This window comes from Homo sapiens, chromosome 7 (genome assembly GCF_000001405.40).
Source record: "Homo sapiens chromosome 7, GRCh38.p14 Primary Assembly".
In the NCBI taxonomy this organism is placed as follows: Eukaryota; Metazoa; Chordata; class Mammalia; order Primates; family Hominidae; genus Homo; species Homo sapiens.
In genome coordinates, this window is record NC_000007.14 from 105,186,991 (window position 1) to 105,203,945 (window position 16,955).

Consider the following 16,955-nt stretch of genomic DNA (forward strand, 5'->3'; position numbering starts at 1 on the left):
AGCCCTTGAGATGTCTCAGTTGAGGCCCCAGATACCGTGAAGCAATGGGCAAGCCATCCCAGCTTTGTCTTTTCTAAATTCTTGATACATAAAATCATGAACAAAATTAAAAAGGGGTTTAAGGCTAAGTTTGAGGATAATTTATTATACAACAATAATCACAACGGTCTTTATTCTGCTCACCACAACAGCTATGCAAAACCTCCTCCTCGGTTCTGCAGGTAAGATGTGCCTTCAATCTTTAAAAGACTGATCAACTAGCTCCAAAAATCACTCATTTAATTCCTTTGTTGCTGGCCTTTCAACTCTACTCAAACCTTATCTCTTCTGCCTAGAAATATGCCCAGATATGTCACACTAAAATAAATGCTTTTTCTTGCACAAATCTGACCCCACTCCCTAGAAGCTACAATCATTTCATTGCTAAATTTCACCGAATAATCTGCTATGCTTTGCTAATATATCCTCACCTTGACATCTGCCTGACTCATCACTGGCCCCACACATGAGTCTCTAGAGAATTCCCCACAGGTAGTTCACTGTTCCTGTCAGCTTTTACCTTCCTGAAACTGAAATTTAGCTTAAACTAAATGCTATTATTAAATCCTTCCGTCTTGAAAACTCTTTTTTTATACCTCAGACCATATAGCCTTGGAAAGACCACCACCATCTCAGTGTGTTACCAACACAGGCAAAATTACTATTGTCCAAGGGAAGGATTTTGGTGTGGGTGTCTGACCAGACGTTCAGGTTTAAAGTCTCATGGTGAATATGCGTGGTGTAGTAAGCAGAGCTGAAGAGGCCATTGACAGGATCAATCAAAGGTTTTTTAAAAAAATAGGTAAAACTCATTCATTATAATAGAATTACAGAAGCAAGTAAGTCACAAGAAAAATAAACATAAAAGGGACAAAGGTGAGTAAATTATAACCAAGATAGGATTGCTGGTGGGAATATACAGTGACACAGCCATCTGGGGAAATAATCTGACAGCTCCTTAAGTGATTACCATATGACCCAGCACTTCCACTCCTAGATACATACCAAAGAAATGAAAACAAATGTACACTTTAACTCATATACAAATGTTCACAGCAGCATATTCTCAATAGCCAAAAGTGATAACAACCCAAATGTATATGAACTGCTGTGATACATCCAGAAAATGAAATATTAATCATGAAATGAATGAATAAAATACATGGTATAACAAGAATGAATCTTTAAAACATTATAAGTAAAAGAAGCCAAACACAAAAAGTGATGTATTGTGTTTGTTTATATGAAAATGTCCAGAATAGAGACAAAAAGTAGCTTAGTGATTGCTAAGGGTTGTAGAGGGGAGGAGAATAGGGACTGGCTGTCAATGGACAGTCATTTCTTCTGGAGAATGATGAAAATGTTCTGGAATTTTAAAGTGGTGAGTTGCAAAATTATGTGAATATACTGAAAACCACACAATTGTACCCTTTAAAGCAGAGAATGTTATGTTTGCAAATTATATCTCAATTTTTTAAAATGTATGAGGGAAAAAATAGCATGTTTTCAATTACTGCTTCCTAGTCAACATAAACCAGACAAAAAATCCCCAACAAAATCTGGAACTCCATTACTTCATTTCACTCTTTTCAATTCCAGGTTAAAACAGGATCCAAAACAAAGAGGAAAAAATTTTAACAATTCTACTGAATCCAGAACATCAATGTTAAGGAGTGAAATCTGAATAAAGAACTCTAAGAATACAGTCCATTTTTAAATTAGCACCAAATGGGAAATAAAAGAGAAAAGATATTACTCGTAACAGGTTCTGTTTGTAAATGTTTTTAGAATACTACCTTAGATCCCAAATAAGAATCAAACATGCCTGGGCCCTTAAAGAGAATTGGTGGATAGCCCCAACTAACAAAAAGACTTGCAAGAGTGTTCCAGCTTTTAGCTGGGAGCATAAAAGGAAAAAAACCCTTATGCTACAGTGAGCCTAAAGGGGGTGGAGGGAGGAAGGGACAGAGAATGAGCTAAGAAGAAGCCACCATGTTAATTGTCGACACTTTCTAAACCCAGACTCCAGCCCTTTCCTCAGCTGCTGCCAAGGGGCTCAGTACTTCTGGGAAAGCTACAGTCACACTGGGGAGAGGCCCTCACTTCATCCAGCAACTTGCACTGCATCCAACAGCAGCACCAGCCCCGCCACTCGCCCGCACCACAGCCCCTGAATTCGCCTGCATCTACTCCACCCTCATTCTTCACTATGAACGAGGTGACCGTCACAGAGGATAAATCAAGGCCCTAATTAAAGTAGGTGGTGTAAATGTTGAACCTTTTCGGCCTGGTTTGTTGGCAAAGGCCCTGGCCTATGGTGACATCGAGAGACTCATCCTAATGTAGGGGTTGGTGGACCTGCTCCAGCAGCTGCTGCTGCATCAACAGTAGGTCCTGCCCTGTCCAGAGCAGCTGCTCCAGCTGAGGAGAAGGAAGTGTAAGCAAAGAAAAAAGAATCTCGGCCGGATGCAGTGGCTCACACCTGTAATCCCAGCACTTTGGGAGGCTGAGGTGGGCAGATCACTTGAAGCCAGGAGTTCTAGACCAGCCTGGCCAAAATGGCAAAGCACAGTCTCCACCAAAAATACAAAAATTAGATGGGTGGGCTGGCGGATGCCTGTAATCCCAGCTGCTCAGGAGGCTGAGGCACAAGAATCACTTGAACCTGGGAGGCGGAGGTTGCAGTGACTGGGTGACAGAGCCAGACTCGGTCTCCGAAAAGAAAAAGATAAAGAAAAGGAAAAACAAAGAAGAATCTGAGGAGTGTGATGATGGCATGGGCTTTGGTCTTTTTGACTAGAAGTTCTTTTATAACTCTTTTTACAAATTTTTAAAAAATTAAACTGGACTCCAGGGACCAGTGGGTGAGGCCACTGGCTATAGGGGTGGTGGGCACGCTGTGGCGTGATGGCATGGGGCTGTTGCAGACATATGAACTGGTCTCTCACCACTGCCATGCCACACAACTGTGCTCTGGCACTGAGTACAGTGGGGACAGCCTTGTGGCAGAACGCCACAGCATTCTCTTAGTGGGTAATGGCAGCACCAGCAGGAGCAGGCCAGGAGCAGGAAGGAGGATCACAACAGATCACACATGGGGACTCCGGTCTGGATCCTGCGCTCCCTCTGGCGACTTCCAGATCCAAAAGGGCAGATTATGCAGGGGCTGACAAGTGAGGACAAGAGCCACTGACATCTGGAATGACTGCAAGTATGACTGCCCATCTATATTCAAACAATATAAACTTTGGGTTACACAACTGAATGTGTTCAGGAATGTGTCATTCAGAATAACACCACGGCTGCCATCTCAGTCCACTCTAGGTCAAAATGAACACATATCTTGGTTGCTCTCCTACCTCCTTGACTGCTATGTCTGTTTCTTGTACGTGTTCCTTTTCCTCTTGCATTCCATTAAATTTCTCAAAGGCTTGTCATTGAACAGCCTCTCTGCATCCTTTTTTTGTTTGTTTTTTTAAACCACTTACCATTATATGATCTGTTTTACCTATCAAATCTATAATATCTGTGTAAGGTTTGGGAACAGTCCACCAACTGCCTTCCCTTCTGACATGAATCACAGAGTTTGGGGGTCCCAAAGACCATCCTCACGTTCAATAATGTGCCACACTGTTAGACTATCAGGTGTGGCCCAAGGCACCCAGATCTCTATGCCCTTGGAAGGCTCCAAGGACAAAGGCTAGATATCTCTTTAGGCAAGGTTAAATTCTTTACTAAACCACCTGCTTGCTGATACTTCTGATTCTCCGATTCATATTTCTAACCACCTTCTTGATATTTCCATCAACAGTCAAACTCATCAACATCTTCCCCAATCCAACTGCGACTTCACTGTTTCTACTAATAATGCCAACATTATTTCACCTTGTTTAAAAAGCTATTTTTAATTAGTAAGCCATAATTGTATGTATGGGGTATGATGTGATGTTTTAATATATGTTACACTATTTTTTTCTATAAGGAATTGAGGCAGCTTATAAAACCACAATATAAGATACAAAATTAGAAAGAAATTGGGGCACAGAAAAAATAGCCCAGAAAAAGTAAAACAGAATAATGCTACAGTGAAGTTAGGATACAGAATGCATGCTATAAATTACTGTTCACTTGTTAGAGGTGGGCTGCACATTTGGCTCAGAGCTTTTTCATAGCCAAACGATATCCAATGCAAAAAAGAAATGACAACCACCCTGAGACACATAGGGAGACCCCGTCTCTATCAACATTTTTAAAATCCGCCAGGCATGGTGACTCATGCCCACAATCCTAGCACTTTGGGAGGCAGAAACAGGAGGAGATTCCTTGAGCTCAGGAGTTCAAGAACAGCCTGGGTAACATAGTGAATCCTGTCTCTACAAAAAAATTTAAACATCAGCCAGGCATGGTGATGCAGACCTGTAGTCCCAGCTACTCAGGAGGATAGCTTGAGCCTGGGAGGTTGTAGTAGTAGTGAGCTGTGATCACACCACTGCCTTCCAGCCTACGCAATAGAATGAGACACTCTATCTCTATGGGGAAGGGGAAGAAAAGCAGTTTCATAATTCAGAGTACACTAAAATAAATGATGCCCAGAAGGTACTATTCTTCTGATTATTCCAGGACTTAGAAGTGTGTGGGGTTTTCTGGTCACTGCCCTCCATACTCAACAGATTGTTGAATAATAAAGACGGTACCTCCATAACATTGTTTGCTTTTGTCTTCTCCTTGTATCTTCTCTCTCTTTAATGTCAATCAACTAAGATTTCAAATTAAGCTTCCTTAAATATAGCACTTCCCTCTTTAAAACCTACACTGGTTCTTTTTATCCTTTTGTAAAAAAAAACAAAAAAAACTTTTTTTTTTTTAAATAGAGACAAAGTCTTAATATGTTGCCCAGGCTGTCTTGAACTCCTGAGCTCAAATGATCTTCTGCCTTGGCCTCCCAGAGTGCTAGGATTACAGGTGTAAGCCACCATGCCTGGTCCACTTATTCCTTTTAAAAGCTCCACTTCTGCTTCTGCTTTTTTTTTTTTTTTTAATTTCCATAAGTTTTGGGGGAACAGGTGGTGTTTGGTTACATGAGTAAGTTCTTTAGTGGTGATTTGTGAGATTTTGGTGCACCCATCACCGATAGAGTATACACTGAACCCAGTCTGTAGTCTTTTGTCCCTCATCCCTTTCCTACCCTTTCCCCCTGAGTCCCCAAAGTCTACAGTGTCATTCTTATGCCTTTGCATCCTCATAGCTTAGCTCCCACTTATGAGTGAGAGAACATAGGATGTCTGGTCTTCCATTCCTGAGTTACTTCAATTAGAATAATAGAGTCTCCAATCCTATCCAGGTTGCTCCAAAATTCATTACTTTTTATGGTTGAGAAGTACTCCACACACACCACAGTTTCTTTATCCACTCATTTATTGAGGGACATTTGGGTTGGTTCCACATTTTTGCAATTGTGAATTGTGCTGCTATAAACATGCATGAGCAAGTAACTTTTTTATATAACGACTTATTTTCCTCTAGGTAGATACTCAGTTAGTGGGATTGCTGGATCAATGGTAGTTCTACTTTTAGTTCTTTACGGAATCTCCACACTGGTTTCCATAGTGGCTGTACTACTGTACATTCCCACCAGCAGTGTAGAAGTGTTCCCTTTTCACTGCATCCATGCTAACATCTATTATTTTTTGATTTTTTGATTATGGACATTCTTGCAGGAGTAAAGTGGTATTGCATTGTGATTTTGATTTGCATTTCCCTGATCATTAGTGATGTTGAGCATTTTTTCATAGTCTATTGGCCATCTGTATATCTTCTTTGGAGAACTGTCTATTCATGTCCTTAGCCCACTTTTTCATGGGATTTTTTTTTCCTTGCTAATTTGAGTTCATTGTAGTTTCTGGATATTAGTCCTTTGTCGGATGTATAGATTGTGAAGATTTTCTCCTACGCTTTCGGTTGTCTGTTTACTCTGCTGACTCTTCCTTTTGCTGTGTAAAAGCTCTTTAGTTTAATTAAGTTCCAGGTATTTAACTTTGTTTTGATCACATTTGCATTTAGGTTCTTGATCATGAAATCCTTGCCTAAGCCAATGTCTAGAAGGATTTTTCCGATGTTACCTTCTAATAATGTTTATAGTTTCAGGTCTTAGATTTAAGTCCTTGATCCATCTTGAGTTGATTTTTGTTTAAGGTATGAAATGAGGATCCAGTTTCATTCTCTTACAGATGGCTTGCCAGTTTTCCCAGCACCATTTGTTGAATAGGGTGTCTGTTCCCTTTTTTGTTTGCTTTGTCAAAGATCAGTTGGCTGTAAGTATTTGGGTTTATTTCTCAGTTCTCTATTCTGTTCCACTGGTCTATGTGCCTATTTTTATACCAGTACCATGCTGTTTTGGTGACTGTGCTCTTACAGTACAGTTTGAAATCAGGTAATGTGATGCCTTCAAATTTTCTCTTTTTGCTTAGTCTTGCTTTGACTATGCAGACTCTTTTTCGGTTCCATGTGAATTTTAGGATGGTTTTTTCTAGTTCTGTGAAGAATGACGGTAGTACTTTGATGGGAATTGCACCGAATTTGTAGACTGCTTTCGGCAGTATGGTCATTTTCGCAATACTGATTCTACCCACCTATGAGCATGGGATGTGTTTCCATTTGTTTGTGTCGTCTATGATTTCTTTCAGCAGTAAAAGCACATATTCTTCTGTATTTACAAAGAAATATATGCTCAATGCAGAAAACAAAGAAAACCAATACAAAGAGGTAAAGAAGACAAAAACCAAAACCCTACAATCCAGATGTAACTAGCTACTATCAATGTTTTTTAAAATTCAGATATTTACATGCAATGAAAGTCAAAGGTTTTATGTGTACGATTCCCTGCTTTTTGACAAATACATATACTCTAATCAATATACAGAACATTTTTCCAAAATCTCACTCTTGAAGTTCCCTCCCAGTCACATTCTTTGTCAGGTAAATGTATTGCAAAGAGCTTCTCCCAGTCTGAAGCTGGTCTTTTCATTTTTAAAAATGTCTTTTAATCAGGAACAGTTTTTAATTTTGATTAAGTCTAATTAATTTTTTATTTTATAGTTAATGTTTCTTATATGCTCTCTAATAAATCCTTCCCTACTCCCAAGGTTGTGAAGATATTCTCTTACTTTTTGCTAGAAACTTTACAGTTTTAACTTTATATTTAAATATATGATCCATCTCAACCTGATAAAGGTATCTAAAAAAAAACTACATATTCACTGTAAGATTAGAAACAAGACAAGGGAGATGTCTATTCTTACCACTTCTATTCAACCTCATGCATAAAAGAATGAGGCAAAAAAGAATAATAATTTATAAAGAATCATAAGGAAGAAGAAAAACCTCCATTTGCCCTGAAATGATGAAATGATTGTGTGTAGAGAAAACCTAGAGAAATTTACACATGCACAAACACTAATAAATAAGCAAACAGCATAGTTACAGGCCACGTGGTTGGTGCATAAGAATCAGTTACATTTCTATAACCCATCAAAACCACACCAAAAACTACAAAACATTTCTGAGAACAATAAAGACCTAAATAAACAGACACAATACCATGTTAATGGGTTGGAAGATTCAATATTATTAAGGCGTATCTAAAATTTATATGTATAAGCTGACTCTGAATTTATACAAAATGCAAAGGATCGAGACAGGTCAAAACAATCCTGGAAGAGAAGCACAAAGCTGGAAGACTGACACTACCCATTCAAGGCATGCTATACAAAGCTATAGTAACCAGACCTTTAGAGCAAGCATTGACCAAAAGAGGGATGGAGCAGATGGAGTCCACAAACAAACCCCCATACATTCTGTCTACTGATGGACAAAGGCAAGCAACTGAATAGGTGGGGGAACAAGTCTTCTCGATAAATGGTGCTGCAGCAACAAGATAAAAGTATATTTCAAAAAAACACCTCAGGCCTACCACATACTGCTGACATTTTGGCACTGCTCTTTTGCTAAATATATTTTTATTTTTTGTTTTTATTTTTTTGAGACAGAGTCTCGTTCTATCGCCCAGGCTGGAGTGCAGTGGCGCAATCTCAACTCATTGCAACCTCCGCCTCCCACGTTGAAGTGATTCTCCTGCCTCCGCCTCCCGAGGAGCTGGGACTACAGGCGCGTGCCACCGTGCCCGGCTAATTTTTTGTATCTTTAGTAGAGACAGGGCTTCGATATGTTGGCCAGGATGGCCTCAATCTCCTGACCTCGTGATCTGCCCACCTCGGCCTCCCAAAGTGCTGGGATTACAGGCGTGGGCCACCATGCCCGGCCTGCTAAATATGTTTTGTAAAAAGAGGAGAGATTATAACACCAGGATTCTGTTTCTACTCTGCTTTCTTTCGGTTTTCTGTGGGGATTTTTGGTAATATTTTGAAGTGATGCTTTAAAGTTACTTCACCACAAATTTCTCACACTCATCTCTATCCTCTACATGATGCTCCCAAACTGCTTTTAAACCTAATCTTCTACCATCAATTTTTAGTTTCCCCATTTGTTAGGAAAACACAAGCAGTTAGGGCTTCTTACACCTTGTTCTGCCTCCAGGATTTAGTCTGAGTAGTGCCCCATACTCTCAACATCATCCAAATATTCTTTACTGACAAAGTCCCTTTCAGTTTTTTATAACATCTTTTCTGAGTCCTCTATTCAAATATAACATTCTTCCTTTTAGCCCTCACATATCTTCCCTTTTCTCACTTATTATTAACGAACCACACTTAGATGAAAAAAAAGATATTTGAGCAGTCTATTCATTCAGTCACTATTCAGCAGGCCACAGATTGTTCTACTGGGGTGCCAGGGAAGCTAGACAGGTCAAGGCTCTGCCCTTAAGTAGCTGGCATTCTAGTGGCAAAGTCTAAGAGGCCATAATCTAGAAAGTAGGGCTGTTTCTCATTTACCTCTATGTGCCCTGTAGTAAAGTACAACGTTTTGCACATCATCAAGCCTCAATGAATAAACCATGAACTCACCTGTCATGCTATTTAAAGCTTGTATCATAAATATCCTTGTCAATTTAAAGCACCAACAGATCAGGAGTCAGAATCTCCTTGGTCTCCATAAAAGAAATGTAATGAGGCCTTATGTAATAGGTTCAAGAGCATCTATTGCTTTGTTCACATAGATAGGCAGGGTTTCTTTTTAAGGCTTGAATTAAGCCAAATTAAGCCAACTAATAAATGAAAAGCATAGTGAATTAAGTATCTGTGCAGCATTAATGATTTTAAGTAAAAGAACTGTGAATAAAGAAAGGTTATCTTTCTATCAAAAGGAACAGAAAGTAAAGACCACACGTCTATAAAATACTTCAGCCACACAACACCATTTTAATAGACAAAAACAGGCATTTCTATGGCAGAGATTTTCCATCTGGGCACTGCTGACATTAGGAGCTGAGTAATTTCTGTTATGGGTAACTGTCCTGTGCGCTGTGGAACCTTTAGCAGCATCCCTGGCTCTGCCCAAGAGATGCCAGTAGCAGCCCGTCACGGCAAGCAAATGTCTCCAAACATTCACAAATGGACTCCCAGGGGTCAAAACCGCACCCAGCGAAGAACCTCTGATGTAACACAGCCAACATTACTTGGCTGTACAAATATTTCTTTTGTTTGTTATTCTTTTTACTGTACAAATATCAATTCTAAAGCAGCTTTAAGGTTCTTTGCTTTTTTTTCCTTAAAAAACAACACAGATTGGGCACAGTGGCTCACACCTGTAATCCCTGCACTTTGGGAGGCTGAGACAGGCGGATCACTTGAGGTCAGGAGTTCGAGACCAGCATGGCCAACATGGTGAAACCTCATCTCTACTAAAAATACAAAAATCAGCTGAGCATGGTGGTGCATGCCTGTAATCCAAGCTACTCGGGAGGCTGAGGCAGGAGAATTGTTTGTACCCGGGAGGTAGAGGCAGTGAGTGGAGATTGCAGCATTGCACTCCAGCCTGGGTGACAAGAGTGAAACTCCATCTCATAAAAAATAAAATAAAATAAATCAAAGTCATAGACTCGGAGGGTTGGGGGGCAGGGAGGGAAGGAGAAAGGGAGGAGGGATGCCAATGACAGCAAATAGCCACCAACAGTAAATTTTGTGAGTTATTAAAATTCAACCAGTCTACCGTTTTCACAGATGGAAAATAGACACACATGGGTAAAGGCAATTTGTGTATAGGAAGAAACTCATCTGACATGCTTCTAGTGTGTATACTTATAATATTTTATGCTCTATTTTGAAGAAAATAATGTCCCTAAGTTTTTACAGGTAAGAAATATATGTCACTCAAATGTGTGTGACAGGTTAAGTATTCCGGAGAACTATGGATGATTTTAAGAAAACGTGAGGCAGAAACAAAGGCCCTATATTCTGATCTGCCAGTCAGCATGCCAGCCTGCTCATGCCGACATGCCTTCCCCAGATCCACCTGAACATCAGCACTCTGCCTATCCCGTACTTGCAACCCAACACTAGAGAAAATGCCTTTATCCAAACAAAATACGTACTGCATTATGGATGGTTCAAATGCAGTGGAGTTAACAAACTACAGGGCCTTGACCAAAGGGAACCTTTCAGACTAGAGAGGGGGAGATACATGAACACAGAAATAAATGTACAATTCCACACTATGATAAGTTGGGGATGCGGGGGACAATACCGTGGGTAATAAAGGAAAGGGTCTGATTAGAGGTCGAATAAATGCATTTCTAAGGAAATGACATGTTTTCATACCAAGTCAGACCACAGCTGTTGATGTCTCCAGAAATAATTCAAGAGATGAAAACTGTACAAAGGTGCCAACTTATCTAAGAATGATTTAAGAGAGCAACAAAACTCATGTCTGAGGACAGCTACTACAGGCAGCCTGATATTGCAAGGCAATGTTCCTACAGTCACCATTTAGTATGTCCTTGTAGCAGGTATACACCGAGGGTTCTGGAAAAAGTTAGGAACATAAGGTAGTTCAAAGCAATGATTCCGCTTATATTGCACGTATAGTATGAAGGGTGCCTTCATGTGGTTATATCCTTGGAGTTTTAGAAGGATGATACATGCAGACCTTAGAATGGAGCAGATTTTAGTGTTCAATGTGCAGAAAAATCACTGATGAATTTGTTAAATATTTGGATTCCTAAGTCCCACTCTCAAGGATTCCAATTCAGGGGTTTACAGTGCAGCCTAGGAATGTTTACCAGGCACCCCCTACTGCCTCTGAAAACCCCACATGAAACACAAATCTTCCCACAAAAGGAGGTTTGGCTGTGACACAGGTTTTTTTTGCTCAAACTCATGAAACAAGCATGTATGACACAAGGCCTCCCGACAGTGTTTGTTTACAGGCTGACCCTGCCCCTGATCTTGGTAATCCCCAGGGCTTGGAAGCAGAATCTGAATAAACTGCACAGCCTACTGCTACAGCTTGTGCCCAGACAACAGACCAGAGGTGATATGTAAAAAAGATAGGCAGTGCTGACAGCTCTCTCTCCAGAGGTTAAGGAAACACACCCAACATGAGACACGGTCAGGGAGTTAAGGGAGCCAGCACTGATGGGTATAGACAGCATGAAGTACAGATGAGAACACAATGAAAGAAGAATGATAGAACAGACAGAAGAAGAGTGAAACTCATATTTCTTATGAGCCTCGTATCAGATACTGTGTCATGAACTTCATATATTTCATTTAAATCCTCATAAAAATCTTAGGTATTAACATTAATATAATATAAATTATCATATCATAGATGAAAAACCAAAGCCTAAAGAGAAAGGAATTTGTCCAAGAAGACGGAGCTACAAAGCAACACAGCCAGGTTTTGAACCAAGGCTCAGGAATCAGTCAATAATGCCATAATCCTCTTGGAGATCTAAGATAACGCGAGTAGGAACATGGCTGTCAGGAAATGAAGAGTCCTACTCCAGAGAGAATACCAAGGCAAGTAAGTACACAAGAGCAATGAACAATGCTTTTGCAATATCAGAACTTTAAATATGGACCCTCTTATTAAAACAGCTGAGGGTTCATACATTTTAAATAAGGGAAACTTGTAAAGATGAGGTAAAAAGTTAAGATGTAATCTAGCTGATCATAAATGATGAAGGCTTGCTGCAGCTCTTGCTGAGTAGTGGGATCACAGGTGACTTCTGCCCTCCAACCCAAGTGTCTACATTTCCTGTGATGAACAAATTTTATTTTTAAAAAGAAATACATGTGATGTCTTTTGTTGTTAATTTTTTTTTAATTGTATTTTGAGGAAACTGAGAAGTAATTGAGGGCAGAGACTCTCCAGGAATGAAGTCAATAAAAGCAAGAGAAAGAGGTGAAGTATCAGAAGAAAAATGATACCTCAGATTACATAACACACACTACCAGCCTGGGAAAGCTCTCTCCCCTTCCCATCCTGGACCATTAAATCCCAAGCCATGAGGCAGGGCCAATCAACAAAGGATGTCAGAGCATGAGTTAGGTGAGAAGGGAAGGGAGAGACATAGTGATGGTGACTGGTGATTCATACCATACAGGGAAATCAATCAACTAAGTCAACGCAATGAGGATGGGAAGAGCCCAGACTCTTACTATCAGAGAAAGAAACCACAAAGATGGAAAGGGAGAACACCAGGCTGAATCTTCTGGTATTAGAGGTATCAGATTAATAAACTCATGGATTTCAAAACATATGTAAATATATAAATAAATATAAACATAAAGGAAGCAGGTGCATATGTTTGTGTTCCTAGCTCTGTACTGAGATCTGAAAGTGACAAGCCAAAAGTAATAAGCACACCTAATGCCCAGGTCTAGCTTTCTAAATATTATTGTTTAATTTAAAAAAAAAAAAAAAAAAAGCAGGATTCTCTGTGAAAAGAGTAGACTCCAGGGCTGGGATAGGAAAAACACAAGATGAACCTGGCATATCCTACTGTACTTGAAGGTAAAGAAATGATCAAAGGACCGGGCATGGTGGTTCACACCGGTAATCCCAATACTTTGGGAGGCTGAGGCAGGAGAATTACTTGAGGTCAGGAGTTCAAGACCAGCCTGGCCAACATGGTGAAACCCCATCTCTACTAAAAATACAAAGGTTAACCAGGCGTGGTGGCATGAGCCTGTAGTCTCAGCTACTCAGGAGGCTGGCACGAGAATTGCTTGAACCCAGGAGGTGGAGGTTGCAGTGAAACAGAGATCACACCACTGCACTACAGCCTGGGTGACAGAGCGAGACTCCATCTCAAAACAAAACAAAAAAATAAACGATCAAAGAACGATTGAGGCATTTCAAAAGGACACAGAACCAATCTGAAGGGGCTCCTAAGAACAAAATTTGGGATAATCTAAGCATCAAAACATATAAGGAGAGTAAGTGATCATAACCCACTGAATAAAACAGAGATCCATGAATTTATCAGTCCACCCGAGACAGAAAGTCAGCCCGGGGTGGCGGCGGGGGTAGGGATAAATATTTGAATGGGTTATATATGTAGTCTCAAAGTAACTCTCAACAAAATACTTATTACTAGGGGAAAAGAACAGCTGTCAGGGATATCTGGCAGACACAATCTTGATCAAGTGAAGGCATCAACTCCAATGGAATAAATCAAACCTGTGTACCATCTGAAAGGATTTAATGCAAAAAGACAACATCACTACTGTGGCATCCCAAATTGAGAAACATTATATAAAATAACCGGTTTACAATCTTCAAAAATGTCAAGGACATGAAAGCCAGGAAAACACTGAGAACTGTTCCAAATTAAAAGAAATTACAAAAACAAGAAAACAGAATATGCGCTTCTGCCACAGATTCATTACACATAATGGACAACACTGGGCAACTGGCAGTACCTGATAAGCCCGAGGTCTGAATAGTAGTGAAGTATCAGTGTTAAATTTCTGATCTTGATGGTTGTATTTTGATATATAGGAGAATGTACTTGATTGTAGGTAAAATGTACTAAAGTATTCAGGGATGATAAAACACCATATTAGTAATTTTAGCTCAACCAGTCCTGGCAGAGGGTGAGGGGATTTATCTCTTTATCCAAGAACAAAAAATGAGAAGGCCACAGGTCTTATTCCAGACATTCCAAATCAATTCCTTGGACTCCCTGAATATGTATATGTCAGTAATCTTATACAAACTGTTGTGGAATATACCACAAAATTCAAAGTAGGGCATCTGTCACATGTAATGCTAACTAAAGGTACAAGTTACTTACCAAATTTGGGGGGGGCTGGCACGGGTATAAGGAGGGAACCTTACTATCTCTAATGACCTTACTGATGCTGACTTTAATACTCTGTGAAGGTTAGAGTTCAGTGAATGTTACCTAGAAACAGCCCCGGCTGTGGAATACTTTATTCTTAGCCCTATATTTGGGGTTTGGATGTCCACTGTGCTGGTTCCCAGAGATAGTAAGGGGATGAGAGTATTGGTTACATCTCCTGACCCACATACTTAAGATCCAGATGAACAAGACAGTTTTCACTCCTGCTTGGTAGAACCTATTTGCTGAAGGAAACAGCTCCTAAAGAATGGTTCTAGCCAGACCCTGTCGCTACCAGAAGAAAAAAAAAAAAAACTTTTCATTAACCAGGGGTGGTGACACATGCCTGCAGTTCCAACTGCTCAGGAGGCTGAGGTGGGAGGACTGCTCAAGCCCAAGACTCAGGAGGCTGAGATGGGAGGATTGCTCAAGCCCAGGACTCAGGAGGCTGAGATGGGAGGATTGCTCAGGCCCAGGAGGTTGAGGCTGCAGTGAGCTGTGATCACGCCATTGCACTCCAGCCTGGGCAACAGAACAAGACTGTCTCAGAAAAAGAAAAAACAAGAAAAGAAAAAAGAATGGCACCTACAGATGAACCTAATGCTGGGCCTCAGCAGAAAAATCGAAGACAGTATAAGAAATGAAGAGTAAGAGGGAGGATGGAAAACACCTTCTTGTCACCTTTCAAACTGGCTCTATCTTTTCTTTTACTAGACTGCATAGATCTTTGGGGTTGTAACCACTATTCAGACAAATGCTAAGTAAGATCTACACTCTTTTCTAAGGAACACACTGATTCTATGTGGAAGTACGTGCACCTATGAAAGAATCAGGTTAGAGTAGATTAGTTCCTACACTTTTGTAGTACAGTAACTTTCTCTTCCTCTTAGCAGGTAATTAAATGTACACTGTTTCTGAACCAACATACAAATGATCTATATCTACTAGATAAATGATGAATTATTAAGACATATGGAACCCAAAATTCATTAATGCTTTATGTTCTGAACATGTCTGCATTTTCTGCCATTTATTCTAATGCTATATAGAATCTGATTTACAATTTTTAAAATCTGTAGCAAATAAATTCATCTCACCAACTTTGGCTCAGGAGCTCCAAATTCCAGAAAATTAATGTCCAAATCAGTAAGTTAAGTGACAAAGAAGCAGCTGAATAGTCATTTCTCTTTCTCCTAGATTCTCAGTTGGGTCCACACAAAGCATGGTGTCTAGATCATATTGTTCTTAATATTCATCACACAACACGCTTGCCCTTTAGGAGTTTAACTCTTGGTCTTTACAAAGCATCAATACAAGAACACTCCACTTGAATAGTTTCTGTGTCTTCCGTGAAATCATAGCTGAAAACATAACCCACTATGTCACACAATGGCAGAACCCCACAGAATGTCTTTTTCGTTAAGTACAATGCCAGGAAAGAATCTTTCTCTGTAAACAAATGTGCATGCTTGCTTCCCACAGACAATAAACGCTATGTAATTCAATGCTACACAAAGAAAGGAATGGTTTTCTTTTAGCCTTAGCAGTCAGAAAACAGAAAGTCAAATACAGTGCACAAGAGTTATAATTAGCTCCCCTCAGGAGCCTGGTACACTTTCTCCTCTCTATGTTCTTTTATTATTTTAATGTTTTTATTGTACTTTATTTTTTGGAGGCAGGATCTGGTTCTGCCGCCCAGGCTGGACTGCAGTAGCACGATCTCAGCTCACTGAAACCTCTGCCTCCTGGGCTCAAGTGTTCCTCCCACCTTAGCGCCCCAAGTGCCTGGAACTACAGGCACTTACCACCATGCCCAGCTAATTTTTTGCACTTTTTGTAGAGACAGTGTCTCACCACATTGCCCAGGCTGGTCTTGAATTCCTGAACTCAAGCGATCTGCCCACCTCGACCTCCTAAAGTGCTGGGATTACAGGCTTCAGCCACCGCACTGGCCCAGTGCTCCTTTTAGATGGTTTATTATGTCCTCTAACTGTCCTGCTGTATACTACCTTTAATTCTAACAGATTTAAGTCCTTCTGAAAGTACCTAGAATATGTATGTACAAATACATGTATTTTGTCTTACAATTCTCTCTCATATCACTTAATATTTTCTGATATCAGTCTCTATACAATGACCTAAGAATTTAAAATGATAATGACACAAGGAGGCTAATTTAATGAAGACCAAGCAATTTGCATCACTACCTCCTCCCCTTGTCCATTCCCCCAACAAATTACTACACAGCCCAATGGGGAAGGCAAGCCCCACACCACCATGCTTGGCACATCACCTTTGCAGTAGTCCGCAGGGTCCTCTTGCTCCTCATCATCTGATCCCAGGATCTCCTCCTCTGGCTCCGGGGGTGTGGGGTCTGGCAAAGGTGGCGGTGGTGGTGGTGGTGGCGGTGGAGGAGGAGGAACTAAAGGAGCTTTCTGTTGAGGCTCCGGCCTGAAAGAGCAGAGAGAAAATTGCTATTTACTTAGAAGTACATCTTGCATTATGGATGCATTTGAGCACTTCTTAATATGGGGGAAAAAATAAAACTTGTCACATACTAAGAAGAAATGTCATTTAATGTCACTTCACCCATTTTAGTTGAATTCAAGTA

At 40.3% G+C, this 16,955-nt stretch overlaps 1 protein-coding gene and 1 long non-coding RNA gene across 35 annotated transcripts in view; both read right to left on the bottom strand.

Annotated features, from left to right (window-relative positions):
• SRPK2 (SRSF protein kinase 2) overlaps window positions 1–16,955 on the bottom strand; it is a 284,618-nt gene that overhangs the window by 72,251 nt on the left and 195,412 nt on the right. For all 34 annotated transcript variants that reach the window (XR_007060151.1, XR_007060150.1, XR_007060147.1 and 31 more), the window contains one exon: window positions 16,638–16,795. Coding sequence is in view for 22 of the 34 variants with exons in the window: in XM_011516536.4 (XP_011514838.1) it covers window positions 16,638–16,795 (158 nt within the window). In the remaining 12 variants the exon portion in view is untranslated. The remainder of the gene's footprint in view (window positions 1–16,637; window positions 16,796–16,955) is intronic.
• Window positions 5,437–16,630, bottom strand: LOC124901718 (uncharacterized). The gene is made up of 2 exons (XR_007060466.1): window positions 15,442–16,630; window positions 5,437–14,031 (listed from the first exon to the last, which is right to left on the bottom strand). It is a non-coding gene; the product is annotated as an uncharacterized LOC124901718 (long non-coding RNA).